Here is an 18,608-nt window from a genome sequence, read left to right on the forward strand (position 1 = left end):
CTTTTATGAAATCCCAAACTTACTTTCTTTATGCCCAATTTTTACCATCCAATTCTCAAATCTTTTGTTTCAGCCAGTCTCAACTTGGTGTCATTTTATAAATATTTCATCATCTTTAACATTCCTATCCCTTTGGACATGCTGATTTCTTCTGCCTGGAATGCCAATAATAATATGATTACAATAGTAATTTTGATTTTCATACAGAGCACTGACTCAAATCTAGGATGTGTTTGGTTCTAGGTTCAGTGATCTTGCCGTCTGATCAACTGGCTTGGGTTATGGAATCTTACTTCCTTGGCTTCCTCCTTTCTTTTGTCATTCAAATTCTTGCATTAAGAAACAACTTGAATATCATCTTTGTAAAACTTCCTCTAAGCCATCCCAGATATCTCTGGTCACCCTTTCCTCATTGTTTTTCTTTAAGAACACCTACAAATTCTATTACAATTTGGCTATGTAATTTATTCACCCTACTAAACTCCTGAGTTCTTCAAGGAGAGAAACCTAGATTTAGATTTTTCCTTTGTCCTTTCTTGGCCATCACTCATAAGTGCTCAGTGAATGTTGAGGGACTGTGAGCCTTCTTAAAACTTTATCCCAGGCTAAGGAAAATGGCTCACTTTCCTGCCAGCAGCTAACCATTCGTATCTGGGGTCAGGGAACAGATGGCAAGTTTGAAAGGGAGCTGGAGGTTTGGGGGAAAAGGCAGCAGGAGATAAGAAATGCGTTATGACTACCTCAGTACGTCGGAGGTTTAGCCCTGCTCTGTTCAATATGGTAGCCTCTAGCCACATGTGATTTAAATTTAAGGTAATTAAAGAAAATAAAAATTCAGTTCTTCAGTTGTGCTAGCCACATTTGAAATACTCAATAGGCTCTTGTGGCTAGTGGCTACTGAGCAGCTTTAATAGAGAACACTGCCATGATTGGAACTTTTAGTCATTACTTCAATAAGCATCCTTTGTAGTCCTTTAAGTTCCAGATTTTTATAGTAGAATGCAAAATTAATGTTTAAGGCAACACACAGGACTTCAAAGGCATTTTTTACTTGTCTGGTGATTTCCGTCTATGCCCTTAGACACCTGGATATATCTGCTTCTGCTGTTATAAATCAGTGAGTGGAAAATTTTTTTAAAAACCTCATTTGATTAGGATATAATAATATTTTGAGCCAGTTCTATTTTCTGGTTTGCATAGTGATAATCTTTGATATCCTAGAAGTAAATCCTATTTTTTTAGTATGCTGGGAGACTTCATTACTTTGGCATTTTTAATTTGTTCATATTAAATGTCATCATTTTCATTGTCAGTGAATGCCTGATTAAAAACTTCTGAGATAGAGCTTCTTTAAGAAAATAATAAAATAAAACCATGACTTAAGGGAATTCTTCTGGATATTTTTTTAATTGGTGGGGTGAGTGCAGGTTGTATAAAATGGTGCTATAAACTTTTCATGGATTTATTGTGTGTTCATATTATGCATGTTGTGGTAGTCAAGCGGGGTAAGAAATGCACCAAAGAAAAATAGCCATGGTTTTGAAGTGGAGAATTGGTGTGGGTTACACCATCAGAAAGTGTTTCGGCTTGCTTTGGCTGCCTTTACAGTACCATTGAAAAACATGAAATCTGTGGCAATTTGTGTGTGAATACATCAGGACAAAACACTAGATGTCAGTGTTGCAGTTCTGACATGTTACCAGGAGCTAGTCAAGATTTTTCTGCTTTTAATCACCAAGATATTTTTTTATTGACCCAAACTTTTAAGCCATCTTGCCTCCTTACATTTAGTTAAATACTTACTACAGGAAGCACTTTTTCTAAGAATTGTTTATTTTGTTATTAGTGTCTGTGTAATGCTACTGACTCTGAAGAGTAAAACATATACAGTATTAAAATAATACAGTTTTCAGCTAACTATATTCTTCAAACTTTGTTTTCCAGTGTACTTTCCTGGGTACACTGGTCCTAGGAGATGCCTCTTGGGGAAACATTTTGTGGCCCTGGAATAAAATAATTCAGTCTTTTATTGAATTTGTTAATAGTGCTGCCAGCTTTTAATTTAGATACCTTTTTTTTTAGTGTTATGGGCAATAATAAGGTTCTTATATATTAACTATATTTGTATGTTAAAGCCTAGAGTCACAAATGTGTTCAGATTTCTTAAATTGACCCAGCGTATAAGATACAGAAAAAACTTCAAATTAAATGTTTTCATTAATTTTTTTGTCTTTATTAAGAAATATGCAGCTCTATTAGCATGATAGAATTGCAAGTGATTTCTTGTCTTTATAACATTTTCTTTTATACTGTTGGCATTTCGTGTTTTAAGATCATGCTTTTAAAAAATGTGAAATGTTATTGTTCTTTGCTATGTAATGTTCAGTTAGTTTTTTGAAGATACTTTATTTTTACTCATGCTCGAGGTTCATTTTTATATAGGCATGTTTTTATTTCCTACTTTCTAATTTGTTATTAATTTTTACTTGAAACGTATTAATGTTTTACATCATTTTTTGTTTCATGAATTTTCAGCACTGAAAAAATAAAGGTATTACGCAAAAATAATGCCCAAATTGCAAGTATTGTAATCACTTGCTAAAAGTCAGGTCTTTTTATGGCTTAAAGTCAAGAGAGTAGAGGGGATCACTCAGAAGGTAATACCTGACTATACACTGTCTTCCATTTACTTTGGTCATAACAATAAGCTGATATAAAAAGGCTAAGAGGATGTTTAAAGGCAAATTATGAACATTTTGTTGAAATTATTTAAAGAAGAAACTGAGCCTCGGAGTTGAAGAATAGATAATTTTGAAGCAACAACAAGACTCAATCAATAGACTTCTCAGAAGGTAGAAACAGCGGTTATGGTTCTGATGCTTGGCTTTGGTAAGGGTAAATGGACCCAGAGCAGCCTCACTGAAATGCTGCAGTGCTTTTGGCATATGGATTGCTTTCTAATCCTCTGCATTTAAGTGAAGGTTCTGATCCGGGTGGGTGGAACAGAATTGAGTAAAGTAAGGAGCAGCAGGAAACCTGCTTATGCCTTGGCCTTTTTCTTCTAGTGTTAAATAGTATTTTATCTTAATGCAAGTATATCAATATTTAAAAAAATACTTAAACTACTAATATTGTTACATTTGTAGAGGTACTTTGATAGGAAAAGTTTCAGCTAATGGCATTTTCTGTAATAATCTTTTGAGATTCAACTAGTTTTGGAGTCATCCAAAGAAAGTGCAGTTGTTTACCCAAAGACATCACTGCTAAATGGCAGCTGTTTGTATATTACTGAGTTTTCTTTCTTGTTGACTTCTCAGCCTTCTTTGTTAGCTCTTCTTCTGCTAATTAAAAAACACTCCAAGTTACTAAGCTATTGGATGATTGTCTTCTTCCAAGTATTTCCTAATAAGTTCTGCAGGTTTCTGAAGAACAGAAGCTCTCCAGAGGGCTCTGGATCATAGAGATGCATGCATGCAATGCTGGGTGCTTGTGCTCTCCTTGTTAAAGTGCACTTAATTTAAGAAGGTGAAAAAGAGCTGCTCAGCAAGTTGATTTGCAAGACAAGCCGCCTTCTGGACTATTGTTTCTGCTAATCTTCCTCATCCATTTGAATTTTAAATGATGAACTAGTTTGCTGGTAACCTGTAGGTGCTTTTTTTGGTGGTTCTCATGATAAAATTCAATGGTACACTTACACATTTGTATCTTCAATCAGAACTTGGTATTTTCATTCAGTCACTCAGTCCTACAATTGAATCTAGTATCTTGGGCACGTTGTTAGATAATTTTTTTTTCCAAAAATGTTAAAATGCCCAATTTTCTAATGTTATATGCAAATTCTTTTACATGAGGCTGATTTTTAGTTTTAGGCTTTTTTTCTGCATACAAATTCAGAATTTTAAATATCTGGGACAAATCCCTTAGAAGATTTATTCTGATAATACTGTACCTTTTTCTTATTAAAGTTTTCTGTTATTTGTTTTAATAACCTTCATTAGCCCCTTCCATTAGTTTAGTGACACAATTAAGGTTTGTGTACTTGAATATACCTTGCACCAACTCCATGCCAACATCTGTCACCATTTTGACAATAAGGACGTGGCAGAGGCTGTTGGATTTGTTTCTGCTGCCTGGGTCCTGGGTTTGGAAGCTGCTGTGACATCCCCTGTATATGTGGCTGGGCGAGGTCTCTGGGAGCTGATGGCAATGGGATAGATGGTCCTATTGCTCTTCATCATTACTGTAGCTGTGGGACTCAGAAAAGTACCCCCCTTGCAAAAATGGGGACAGGCAGAGCTCCAGGAAGGGTTCGGGGGGCCTTGGCAGCCTCTGCCTAGGATATTAAAGTTTAATTTGCCTTTACTCTTTGGTTCTATAGGAAGCTGTGGATCGGAAAAGGACCACTTTTATTCTGATGATGACGCAATAGAAGCTGACAGTGAGGGTGATGCTGAGCCCTGTGACAAAGAAAATGAAAATGATGGAGAATCAAGTGTTGGGACTAATATGGGCTGGGCAGATGCTATGGCTAAAGTCCTCAACAAGAAAACTCCTGAAAGTAAACCTACTATTCTGGTCAAAAATAAGAAGCTGGAAAAGGAAAAAGAAAAGTTAAAGCAAGAAAGACTAGAGAAAATAAAACAGGTATGTTCCACCAGTTCTCTTGTAGATTAGATTGTTTGTCTAGGCTAGCTCTTATCTTGACCGAACTGTTTCTTGCAGTGTTTGACCAATTAACGTTCCAGTTTTTAACTTGTTTTTTATGTGAAGGTGGATAACTAAGGTTATGTTTAGGAATTTAGTCTAAATTATTCCATTGAGCATGTTCACTTTTTAATCATCTATGCAAAGGCAAAGTAATAGAAATGTAAACGCTGAGGAAACATCTTTTTAAAATCAAGTAATTATACACATGGTAGTGATTCCTGAGCCTATTTTATTTGTTTTAGCTGTCTGTTTGCTGACTTTATTAGGTTGTGAACTAAGAAGCATGTTAGTTACTTTTTTTTTTTGCCAAAACTTATTTTACAATAGGAATCTGTGACAATGTCGTAACTCAAGGATTGGTTGTAGTTCTGAAAACGGATTATTTCAGTGTTAGATACAAATCAGTGTTGGATAAATTTGAATTCATTATGCTTTTGTTGAACTACTGATGATAGTTGTTAGACTAGGTATAATCTATTAATTAAAGGCCAAAAGTTGTACATAAATTTGTGGTTTATTATAAAAGCTAAAAATCCATGATAAGGCTTTCATATCACCTGTACTTGATGATCTCTGTCTAAAATACTTGGTTACTAAATTAAGCATGTTTTTTAATTAAAGAAAAATAACTTTCTACAAATGTACTGGCAGCATAGAAGTACTAATTCCCAAAGTCACTTCATAGGTAAAAATGAAAGAAACATAGGTTTGAACTGACATATATTTCCTTTTATGTTTACCATCTCCTTTTCTTGTTTCAAGATGAATGTTTTCTTTGTTCTTAATACTGGTTGCTCTGTGTGAAAGGTGGAAATTTTTAAGTATTGCTCTTAGAAACACAGCATACTCTATTATTAATTCAATATTCTTATTGTACTTTATTTAAGGTAAGTTTTGTCTTTAAATCTTATGGATAGCTTTTCAACTGAAAATTTGAATCTTTGTTTATTATCTGGCAAATGCTAGAAGAGGCTTCAAAAATATCAGAATCTTTGATTTCCTCTGGTCTCAGAGTTCTAGTGAGGGTAAGAACATTTTGAAGCCAAGAGGAATGAGTCTGTAACTCTGCTCTAGGCCAAAGCTTTGAGTGCTAGAGATGATACTGTCTCCATAATGCATGAAAGCACATGTATTGATACCAGAAGCAAGACATGGCAGCTACAAATGCTCTTTGTGTGTATTTCTTAGAAGAGAATATGTAAATTATTATTTCCTAATTTAACTATTATGGTTTTCCAATATATCAGCTACTTATTTCTAATCATAAATACAAAAACAAATTTCAGAGTTAAGAATGTTTCAGGATTAAGCATACATATTATCCTTTGAGTACGGAATATAATTAAGAATTGACTGTTTCAAACTTAAAAGTAAGATTTTAAAAAAAAATTCCTGTCATAATCTGACAGTGAATTTCATGACCACTAAAATGAATTGTCTGGTTAGGAGAATAATCTATTACTTTAGAAAGCTATCAGGCTAATCTTTATAGTGAGCGCAAGAATTTGGTTTTACTGTGATTAGACACTTTCATTAATACAAAATGAGAAATAGAAGAGTAAAGGCATAGATAAAAAAAGAAATTTTAATAAAAACGTTGTCTTTATTACTGGTTTTGATGCTTGCCAGCATTCATTGATTAATGCATTATATCATTATATTTGATATTTGGTTAAATGTTGGCCTGAGAAGGAGACATGAACATGCAATGTATCAAATCAGATTCCTGGGACCAGGATACTATTTAAAGACAAGTTCAAACTAAATTATGTTACCTAGGGAATTTTCTTATTTCCCACCTCCCCTTCTGCTTCTGTACAGTTTGCTGTAGCTTACAACTGATAAACCATATATGGCAAGACTATTGGTCAGATATGCTACGAGAGGAGAAATGGATTTAAATGATTCTCTGCATAGAAAAATAGTCATTGTATAAGTATCTGGATACGATGCTGTTCTTTTAAAAGCTGATACATTTTCTTAATAGTAATTCTGATGACTGAGGAAGTCATTTTCTGAAAGTAAAGATAAACTTATAATTTTCAAAGAGGGTAGTTTGGAATTCTTCCTTATGCTTCCCTCTGATGATCTGGTGATGGCAGAGCAGGCATGTGGCTCCCTCACACCCTATCTTGTACTGCCTGGCCGAATATGCTGGCAGCTCTCCAGGCCCCTGCTGTCAGAGGGCCTGACAGAAACTCACTTTGTGCCTCTCGCATGACACGCTGAGTGCTAACCACAGGCTCTCGAAGCTAAACCCCTAACATTGTGTTTTTTTAAAAGCCCCTGACAAACTAAGCCAGAATGATTTATTACCTTCACCCTTTCACAGAGTATCATACCAATGTTTGCTGCACTTTCAGAAATATCTAATATTCTTTCACATAACAATATTTATAACGCAGCGTGATAAGAGGCTGGAGTGGGAAATGATGTGCAGAGTAAAGCCAGATGTTGTCCAAGACAAAGAGACAGAGAGAAATCTTCAGAGAATTGCAACAAGGTAAGGTAGTGTTTTTGCCCTTTAAAAAATAAGTATACTAAAGCTATCATAGTGGTTCTATTTTTGACCCAATTTGATTCTTAAGCTCAGCCTTCTCAGAGCCAAGTGATATATATCTAAGCCTGCCTGTTCAACACTGAATTCAACCAAAGATTTTCCAGGTCTCGTGAAGCAAGAATATAATGTGCTAAGTGTATATTTGGTAAGAACCTATTTCAGATCATCTTGTTTTTATAGTCACGAGAACTGTGTAATCAGACCTCTTACTGCATTTCTCTTATGATGCTTGTCTAAATTTGTGGCACTCAATGATGGTTTTTATCTTGCATTATATTTATGGCATAATACATTACACATTATAGCTATTTCATGCTATCTTTTTACTCTGCTTATTTATTCATTGGCACCAAACGTTTACTTGATGCCCTCTGTGTCCAAAGACAAACAGGATATGGTGGCTGCTAGGTGGTCCTTGCCTGGTCATCTGTAGGAATTACAGTCTCTTTGAGAGTAGAATTATGTCTATGTGTTGGGAACATAGAACAGGAGATTGTCTGGGAGAGTTTGAGAAGGCATTACAGAGGAGATAACATTTGGGCTGCTGCTAAAGAACCTAGCAGTTATATTTAGCAGAATTACTTTTAAATTCTTGTTACCTAAATTATTTTGGTCATTTTCTAATCCATCTCGGTGTTACACAGTGCGATAGCGTGGTGTGGTGAATAAGGGCATGAGTGATAGAGCCAGTGCTCGGTTCAAATCGTAGTACTGGCTCTTACTAGCAGTGTGTCCCTGGGCATGCTACTTGATTTCTTTTTCTCTCAGTTTATCTGTAAATAGAGGATAATATACCTAGCCTATAGGGTTTCTTTGATAATTAAATGGATTAATACATATACAGAACTTAGAAAAGTACAGGCTCAGTACATGAGAGTGAGTGCCTCCTTAAAATTTATGTCCTAGGCGCCTCCCTTTCCTCACCCTGGTCCTGTCACTACTGTGAAGGGTCTGGAATTTTACTCTCCTTATAAGCTCATAAGCTAGCCTGTCAAAGTTTCCTGGATGCTGATAGAAGACAAGACACTTTGGATCAAAGACAAAGGACTTTATTATTCATGGCAAAAACAGTAGCAGAGCTTCATGTTCCCACTGTTTCCTTTGTCCCATAGAGGGAGTGCAGGTGTCCTAGATGGATGCCCGCATGTGCAATATGTTGTGTTACAAGAACTGGAACACTGTGCTTGGGATTCTATCACTTTTATACTGATTGGTAACAAGCCTGCTCTTTGTCGGGGGGAGATGTTACCTCATCCCTCAAGGTCACTACCTACAAACACAACCCTGAGAAATGGCCTGGATAAAGAGCAGTCAGGTGCATTCATTCTTGAAAAATCCAGCAACCATATGCAGGGATGCTCAAGGCCCAATAATTATTGGAAGAGGCAGATTGCCTCTTATTAGAGCAAGAAAATTCATAGATTGCAGAATTTTAGAGCCGGAAGGGATCTTAACAGTCTAAATCAACGCTATCCAGGAGAAATGAATGTGAGCTACATTCATTTGTAATTTAATATGTAATTTAAAATGTTCTTATAGCCACAATGAGAAATATAAAATGAAAGAGGTGAAATTAACTTCAATAATATTTTATTTAACTCTGCATTCAAAATATTCATCATGTGGTCAGTATGAAGCAGTTATTAATGATATTTAAGGATTCTATTTTTCATACTGAGTCTTTGAAATCTGGTGTATTTTCATTTACAGCACATGGCAATTCAGACCAGTCACATTTCAAGTGCTCACTAGCCACATGTGGCTTGTGGCTCCTGTATTGGATGCTGCAGGTCTTAATTTTCAGAATTTATCTTTGAATGAACTCAAATAAATACAGAACATAGTTTTTAAAATAAGTATTTTTTAAAGTAGGATTTTACAATGGTTTCATAACACAAGAGTTGCAGATAACGTAGCTAAATACTTTTTAAGCTACTGAGGCATTATTTTTCCAATTTACAGATGAAATTGAGATCCAGAAAAATCTTTCTTGGAGTGAAGCACAAAGTTATGTACCAATCCACATTTGTTATCTGTTTAGAAATTTATATTCATTCATTGAAATGTATATTCATTTTTCAGTTGTATTTATCAAATGTATTTAACCACTTATCCCGTTCTTTCCTTTGAGTACTTGTTAAATGCTTGCCTCTTTTCTAGACAGTGAAAATACATTTTTCCTATCCTCAGAGTTTGTATTCTAGGGTAATTATTTAATACATCATTCTGGTCATTTTATATTCTACAGGGGTGTGGTGCAATTATTTAATGCTGTTCAGAAACATCAAAAGAATGTTGATGAAAAGGTTAAGGAAGCTGGAAGTTCTATGAGAAAGCGTGCTAAGTTGATATCAACTGTTTCCAAGAAAGATTTCATCAGTGTTTTGAGAGGGATGGATGGAAGTACAAATGAGACTGCTTCAAGCAGGAAGAAACCAAAAGCCAAACAGGTAAAAACTTTTCTATAGGATTCAGTGTATCAGACTTTCAGCTCTAAAACTAGTCTTGAGATGGAAAACCAGACTATAGAATTACAGAGTTTTGTGTTTTTTTCCTAAATTTTATTAAAATTCCTCCATGCCCGCAACCTTTAGAGATAGGGCTTGCCTCTCTCCTATCTGAAATCCTGCCATTTTGCACATTTTGGAGAATAGAAGCCTGTGTGGGCCACAGCTTTAATTTCAGACTTTACCCATAGAGGGTGTGTAACTTACAAAATATGAAGAGTCAGAGAGTTTTAGGAAATAATGGTAGAAAGTCATTCTTGCATTGAGGCATCTTTAGTGATGTTTGGTTGAGAGATTAAGAGCATAAATACTTTCTATGACCTTTGGCATGAGAACTTTGCTTCTCCAGCTGCCTCAGTAGTTTCTTTCTTTCTTTTTTTTTTTTTTTTTTTTTTTTTTTTTGATGGAGTCTTGCTCCCTGGCCCAGGCTGGAGTGCAGTGGCGCGATCTCGGCTCACTGAAACCTCCGCCTCCCAGGTTCAAGCAATTCTCTTGCCTCAGCCTCCTGAGTAGCCAGGTTTACAGGCACATGCCATCACCTCCGGCTAATTTTTGTATTTTTAGTAGAGACGGGGTTTCACCATGTTGACCAGGCTGGTCTTGAACTTCTGACCTCAGGTGATCCACTCGCCTCGGCCTTCCAAAGTGCTGGGATTCCAGGTGTGAGCCACCGAGCCCAGCCAGTAATTTCTTTTTAATGTACCAGGTGAAAGGTTTTGAGATGTGCTTTACTTTTATAAGCGGTGGGTTTCTATTGTTGTCGTTTTAAAAAAGCAAAATATGTAGTTATATTTTGATGGCTTGATTTCTGTTGCCAAAACCAAAGGTACTTTTAATCAGTCAGGAAATGAGAATTTCTGTCATAAATTTTTTTGTTTGGGAAAATAATTGAAACCCGAGCAAGAAGAGCATTTAGGAATTTTATGCTAGCCTAGGGTTGGAGCATTTTTTAAAGTTTCTTAAGTTCATATTTTACCTAAGTGACAAAAGTTTTTGAATCTACTTGTCTCTTTCTTGAATATCAAAGGGCTCAAATTGTATTTTTATATAATAATAGTTCTCACTAGTGCTGCTATTTTAAAGTGTCTATCAGAAGTACTTGTAAATACATGAACACTGTGTTTGGGGATTTATACTTTTTAGTTCAAAGGCTTTAATAGGCTGTATTCTCGCTAGTAACATTTTACTGTAAGAGTTAGAGAAAGATTCAGCAACATTGGATGGGAAAGAACTAGTGGGAAGATGAAGAGACTTAGTTTTTTTTCTTTTTCCTATTGGTTTCAAAATAACATTTTATAGAAGCACATACTTTTGCTTTGGGATTATTTCTTTCATGAGTTATGAAAATACACAACAGATTCTTTCCACTGGCATTGTATTTTTTTCTTACCATTTGCACTTGCCCTTGACTTTCTTTTTTTCTACTTCAGTGATCACAGTATTTGTAAGTCTGGGACAAGGTCAAAAATTGCTTGAGACTTAAGCCAAAGTGATTTTGCTCTAAAAGTAATTTGTTTCTAGAACACCCTGCCCCATGCCATCAATACCCTGACATATTTCTTTCTTTTAAAAATGTGTGTTTTCATGTTGATTGCATATTTATGGAAAAACAGACTCCTTTTTAAAAATTTTGCTTGAGTTTGCATCTGAATAACTATGAAAGTACTACACTGTTTGAGATTGGATCAGTTACTGATATAAAGCATATTTCTTGGCTGGATGCGGTGGCTCATGCCTGTAATCCCAGCACTTTGGGAGGCCAAGGTGGGCGGATCACGAGGTCAGGAGTTCGAGACCAGCCTGGCCAACATGGTGAAACACTGTCTCTACTAAAAATACAAAAATTAACTGGGCATGGTGGCACCCACCTGTAATCCCAGCTAATCAGGAGGCTGAGGTGGGAGAATCTCTTGAACCCGGGAGGCAGAGGGTGCAGTGAGCCGAGATTGTGCCACTGCACTCCAGCCTGGGTGACAGAGAGAGACTCCATCTCAAAAAAAAAAAAAAAAAAAAAAAAAACATATTTATTAAGTGCCTGTTTCTACCAGGTGTTATCCTTGTTGTGTCCTTTAAAATCTTACAATTAAGATGGACAAATGACTTCAAGTAAATAAGTAAGCAAGATTAACTTGATAGTAGGCAAATTCTAAATTAGTATGTCAAGTACACGTTAACATTAGTTACACCAGCTCTAACAAGATGTACATTAAGTGGCTACCCCTGTGTGAAGGGAATTTCAGAGTAACGGTGTACTATTTATTTAGAGCATAGATCATTATATCTATGTATGTTACTTGAAATAGGTGAACTTTTAAGGTAGATCAAGGGAAGGCAGGGTGGCAAAGGTGAGCATAGATTTGATGTGCCAAAGTGCTATTCAGAAATGAATCATTGATGAGCTAAATAAAGGAAGAGATTAAGAAAGTAGAAAGTAATATTTGCCATTTTTTCTTATATTTAACCTTGTCCTAGCACCATAGCTATTGTACTCTTTCCTCATAGGTGTTCCTTCTCTCATCATAAAATGGAACAAAAGAAATCTTATTGTTTTCCCTTCCCTGGGCTGTAATGATATTCAGAGCACAGATTTTTAAATTCAATATTCCTAATATTGTGAAGTCTCTAAAATTGGAGGCCACCCACATATAAACTAGATTTCACTGGCAGCCATCTATCAGGATACCAATTTGGAAACACCTTCATTTTAATGACTTCAATTCTTTTTCCCAGTTATATGTGTTATTCAGTTTTGACATTAAAGTCTTATGTTCAATAATCAAAAGAGGCAGGAGTTTTATATTAAATATGGATAGAATTGTAATAATATAACATAGGTTATATACATTGAGCCCATTATAGTTAACCATACTTTAGGAGTGGTTTTGGTGTTTGGTTTTGTTTTCTCCTAATGTACACATGACTTGGGAATTTATTTTAAAGAACTTTTTTAAAAAATAATTGTTATAGAAATTTCATATTTCTTCAAGGTATAAGAAACAGACATTGTGATAAATGTTTTTTAACTGTGATAGGGCCCGAACAAGTCATTTTTCTTTTTCTTTCTTTCTTTTTTTTTTGAGACAAAGTCTTGCTCTGTTGCCCAGGCAGGAGTGCAGTGGAGCAATCTCAGCTCATTGCAACTTCCGCCTCCTGGGTTCAAGCGATTCTCCTGTCTCAGCCTCCCGAGTAGCTGGGATTACAGGCGTGCACCACCATGCCCAGCTAATTTTTGTATTTTTAGTAGAGACAGGGTTTCACCATGTTGATCAGGCTGGTCACGAACTCCTGACCTCAGGTGATCCGCCTGCCTCGGCCTCCCAAAGTGCTGGGATTACAGGCATGACCCACCATGCCCAGCCGAACAAGTCATTTTTCTTAGAGTCTTTTCTGCATTAGAATTTTATTATCAAAGCAATAGGAGCACAGTATGAAAACTGAATTTATGGTTAAATAAAATAACCACTGCCCTTTTCCATTCTTCTCTATACCTTGGCAACTCTTAGTACTTTCTTCTGGTATTTACCTCCATATCTTAAATAATATTTACACTATTTCTTTATCAGTACTAGATACTATCTTTCATGGAAGATAAAGTTGGTTTTCCTCACACCTCTCCACATTCTGTCCTTCCAACATAGTATATTAAAATTTCTTACACTAGATTGAATACTAGTATTCAATGTGAATATTGTTCACTGCTGAGCAAAATAATATACAATAATAATACTTACTTTCTTCAGCTTTGTTACAATTTTTATTTTTCCTGGAGTTATCACTTGCCTTTTTTTTCCTTTAGTTTTGTATATGCCAAAATCCTTCCATACTCTTCAAAAGAACTGTTAAGCCCTTCTCAGTAGTATATTTCTTGTGATCATCCTGCTGCTACTCTCTAAACTGGTTGTTCTTTACCTGCTGTGCACTGTCATTTTGCAACATTGCTTTATCCCCTTCCTGGGAATTCCATTTGCCTCTCGCCTCTCTCCTATGCAGTATCCTCTGTTTTTTCGGACTAAACGTCTTATTTTCTCTTGGCCTTCTCCTGCATTTTAGTGATGGCACAGTTTTCAGCTTTCTGGGAGAGAGTATAGGTGTCCTTATTTTTTATTGATATGTTGGCCCGATAGATGGCTTCCAATATTTGGAAAAGGGTTTTTGCAGATGCAGTTAAATTAATGATCTTGAGATGAAGGAGGTAATCTCGAATTATTCGGGTAGGCCCTAAGACCAGTGACAAGTGTTCTTAGACACATAGGAGAAATTTGACAGACAGAATCGGAGCAGGCAGTGTGACCATGGAGGAATAGGTGGGAGTGATGTGGCTGCAAGTCAAAGAATGCCAAGAAACACCAGAAGCTGGAGGAGACAGCAAGGGATGGGTTCTCCCCTGAAGCCCCAAGAGGGAGTGAGGCTTTGCCAGATATGGGCATCGGGCCTCCACAACTGTGAGAGAGTAAATTGCTATTGTTTTCAGCTACCTAGTTTGTAGCAATTTGTTATGGCAGCCACAGGAAACTAATAGAACATAGATGTCCATGTTGGAAAGTAATTTTCTCTCAGAAGTTTGAGAGAAATTTTTTCTTTCTTTCTTTTTTCTTTTTTTTTTTTTTAGCCATTGAGCGGTTCAGTGCTGCTCTGCTCGTTTTGATTCTTTTCTTTTTGGAACCTTTTAAGACCTTCTCTATCCCCGTTCTTAAAACATTTGTAGTGAATAATTGGTAGTCACTAATTTTATTTTATTTATATTTTTGTGAGATAGGGCTATGAAAAAAGATACTGTTAGTGGATGTGAGAAGACATAAAAAAAGAATGATTCTTAGCCAATAAATAGAACTTTGGGGTAAAATGTTGAATGTTAAATTCAGTGGAGATTTGGTTCTATGGAATGAATCAGATCACCACATATTTCATTTAGAAACAAGAAGAGGAACCTTCTTTGCCAAATTGTTTTAGTAGCTGTTCTGGGTGGTACATATATTGCTCACGAAATTAGAAAATCGTAAAGTTGGAAAAATTGTGATGTGGGGATAGTCATAGGAAATGTGACTCAGGAGGAAAGTACTTTAGAAGAATATAAGAAACTTAGCTTTGATTTTTAAAATGGCATGAAGTAAACATGGTAAGGGGGAAAAAGCCTGCCAGTTCTGTAATTTTTCAGATTCCTTATAGTTTTCTTTCCTGTTTTCTTCCATGGAAGTTGGAATGTAGGATGTTTGCTAATGAGTGGGGAGTTAGAAAAAGGGATTCTGAGGAAGTAGGTTGGCATTAGATTTGAAGTGTCCTATCTTGAGGAATCTGGACTTTATTCCTTACGCATTTGGAGGCCAATGCCATAAGGTAAGTGATCTGGTCAGATTTGATTTTTCTGTCTTTCTCTTTTGATTTATTTCAGCTTTTATTTTAGACTAAGGAGGTACATGTAGAGGTTTGTTACAAGAGTAATATTGTGCAGTGCTGAAGTTTGGGGAATGATTGAATCTGTTGCTCAGTTAGTGAAGATTTCATTATTTTTAAGGAAAAGAAAGGGCTGAAGGATGGTCAGAAGACCAATTAGTGGAAGACAATTGCCATAATTAAAGCAAGGGGAGAGAACGTGAACTAAGATTGTGTGGGGTAAATTGGGTTGGGGTGAAGGGAAAAGAAGAATCAGATTGGAGAGGCAATTTTAAGGTATAGATTGACTTGATTTGTGATTAACATGATGTAGAGGGATATGGGAGAGGGAGGATTTATTAATAACTCAGAGGTTTACAACTTGGGAGACTCAGAAATGGTGACAGCTTTCACCAAAATAGAGAATATAAAATATGGAACATGTCTGAGAGGTAAAGATTTTTGGAGGCAGTGACTGCTCCAGGTTATAATCAGAAATGAGAAGGATGACAGTAAAGATCAGGTTAACAGCAGCAGTGTGGCAGAAGCATTTGGTTAGTGCGGGAAATAGCATGGCCAGAAACAAGGAGGCAACCAGAATAGCAGAGTATGGTGAGGCCACCTGGGGCAGGCACTAATGAGTCCTGTATGTCTTAGTAGGGTTCCTGAATCTTTAAGAATGATTAACTTGTTTACTGAGTCAGGGAAGATGAATAGTCTATTTTAGAGAGTTTTCCACATGAATAAATGTAATATCTTCTAGGTTTAGATAACTAATTTTCAGTTATTTGGAAGGAATTCCCTAATCCAGAAGCTGTAATTCTTCGATCAAATACAGGAAGCATCATCCCAATTACATACCAACATGTGGCAAGGCATATTGACCAATATCTTGATGTTGACCCCGAGTGATTTTTATTTTATTTTATTTTATTTTATTTTATTTTATTTTATGTTTTGTTATTTTATTATTTTTAAAGAGATGGAATCTTGCTATGCTGCCCAGCCTGGTCTCGAACTCCTGGGTTCAAGTGATCCACCCACCTAGGCCTCCCAAAGTGCTGGGATTACAGGCATGAGCCACCATGCCTGGTGACCCTGAGTGATTTTTAAAAATATTACATTGTATTTAGAACACTGTTTAAGGAAGCAACAAAAACATATTTTTTAAGTAAAGTTTTATAAAAAAATTAAGCTTTAACTCTTAAAGGATTAATACCTCTGTTCCTCTATTCAAAACATGTTCTTATCTAGAGTGATTTGTTTCTCAGTATGTTAATCAAGATTTTATTAATGTAGAGGCATTAATTTTTTTTCTTAGCTTTCAAAGTTGTAATTATTCCTTTTAATGTTTTCTTGAAAAGCCAACTAAAATTCAATCAGATTTCTTGGAATGTAATTCTGTTACTCTAAAGGCCGACAGAAGCGGATGTGATGTTAAATCTGTGAGTCTCTAAGGAGAATATATTGGCTGCTCTTAGGAAAGCATTGGCTTTACTTGTACTCTTGAATTACAGACTTTCTACAAGGTTTTCATTTATTTGAAATTGCCAATATATCAATTTCAGGTTTTTTTTTAATAATGAAACTGAAATTATAATTTTATAGTAAGGGAAAATGCTAGCTGGTTTCTGTTAGAAAATGATTTTTTGGCGGGACATGGTGGCTCACATCTGTAATCTCAGCACTTTGGGAGGCCGAGGCAGGCTGATCACAAGGTCAGGAGATCGAAACCATCCTGGCCAACATGGTGAAACCCCGTCTCTACTAAAAAATACAAAAATTAGCCAGGCGTGGTGGTAGGGGCCTGTAATCCCAGCTACTTGGGAGGCTGAGGCAGGAGAATCGCTTGAACCTGGGAGATGGAGGTAGCAGTGTGCTGAGATTGCGCCACTGCACTCCAGCCTGGTGACAGAGAAAGGCTCCATCTCAAAAAAAAAAAAAAAAAAAGAAAGAAAGTGATTTCCTTAGTGATTGCTAGACAATAATTTTTAATAGAAGTCCCTAGGAAAAAGAGTTACTGGAAGAGTCCAGGTATTTATTTTTTCTGATTTTGTGGTATGAGCACTTTAAATGTCATACATAGAGGTAAGGTAGGGTACTCCTCTATTTCTCATTTATTTGTCATAAATGGCAACCTTGTAATTTCTTCATAGGTAAATAATTAGTGGTGAGAATGCTTTTGAAATACCTGGCTTCTTTGGTATCTTACAACTTAGACCCAGACTCCAAATTGCTATGTACTTTTAAAAATGTGCATTTCTTCTGGTTCTTAGATCTGCTGAATTCTTGCTTCTAAAGACAGAAGCCTAGGAAAGGAGGACTTCCTCACCCAGGTCCCTTGGTGGGCCTCTGGCTATTTTCATTATTTACTTTTGGTTTTTCTAAGGCAGGATCTCACTCTGTCGCCCAGGTGGGAGTGCAGTGTCACGATCTTGGCTTACTGCAACCTCTGCCTCCCAGGTTCAAGCAATTCTCATGCCCCAGCCTCTTGAGTAGCTGAGATTACAGGCGCATGCCACCGCACCTGGCTTTATTTTTTTATTATTTTATTTTTTTTTTTTTGTATTTTTAGTAGAGATGGGGTTTTACCATGTTGGCCAGGCTGGTCTCCTCGAACTCCTGGCCTCAAGTGATCCTCCGACCTGGGCCTCCCAAAGTGCTGGGATTACAGGCTTGAGCCACCGTGCCTGGCCAGGATTTAGCTTTTAAATCAAGTTGGGGTGTGGAAGGCAGGCAAGGAGGTAGAGAAAGATGCTGTCCTTAGATTGCCTCTGCATTGCAGGACAACAGTGTTTTACTCTCACGTAAAGCTCTCTAACAGGAATGTGTGGAATCCTAATTTTGTAAATAATTCAGCTTAATGTTTGTTTACTGAAAATGCCTAAATAGAGCTTAGGCAAAAGTGAGACTCCATGTTTGAAATGAGAACAAGCAGGATTATACATATTACTGTTGATGGGAATGGTTTTAAGCCAGTTTCCCATTGTATTTATGTCTTTTAAAATATGCTATTTAGTTTTCATGTAGGGTGGTTTCTGATTTGAACAACAGTTTTAATCAAAATGAACTTAGGTTTGGCAATATGGCACATGCAGCATTTTGACTTATGGAAAATATGGATATTAGTGAAGAATAAGAACTAGTTATTACAGAACTGCTGTAGAAATCTTTAGTTACTGTTAACTTAAAATTAATGGTGCCATACATCTTTTTGCCCCTATATGAATAAATGTGCTATTTGAAGTGGCTGCCTGTATTGGATTTTCTTTAGTGAGGCTGAGGCTTTAAAAAAAAATTATCCTGCACAGATGAGTCTATGCATTTGACTTTTAAAAATGCATTATATTAAGACATCAGTCTTACATGTTAGCACCTATAATGCATTTTTAAAAGTCAGAATAATATTTTATTGCATCTTGGTAAAAATTACCATTTTTGAGTAGTAGGCAGTTGAGACCATT

General features: G+C 36.2%; 1 protein-coding gene across 4 annotated transcripts in view; it reads left to right on the forward strand.

Moving 5' to 3' along the window:
• RRP15 (ribosomal RNA processing 15 homolog) overlaps positions 1–18,608 on the forward strand; it is a 52,691-nt gene that overhangs the window by 12,623 nt on the left and 21,460 nt on the right. For 2 of the 4 annotated variants that reach the window (XM_047421798.1, XM_047421797.1), the window contains exons 2-4: positions 4,370–4,644; positions 7,113–7,210; positions 9,516–9,717. In XM_047421798.1, coding sequence (XP_047277754.1) covers positions 4,370–4,644; positions 7,113–7,210; positions 9,516–9,717 — 575 coding nt within the window. The remainder of the gene's footprint in view (positions 1–4,369; positions 4,645–7,112; positions 7,211–9,515; positions 9,718–18,608) is intronic. The other 2 variants (NM_016052.4, XM_011509597.4) reach the window with 1 other exon arrangement.

This window comes from Homo sapiens, chromosome 1 (assembly GCF_000001405.40).
Source record: "Homo sapiens chromosome 1, GRCh38.p14 Primary Assembly".
Lineage (NCBI taxonomy): Eukaryota > Metazoa > Chordata > Mammalia > Primates > Hominidae > Homo > Homo sapiens.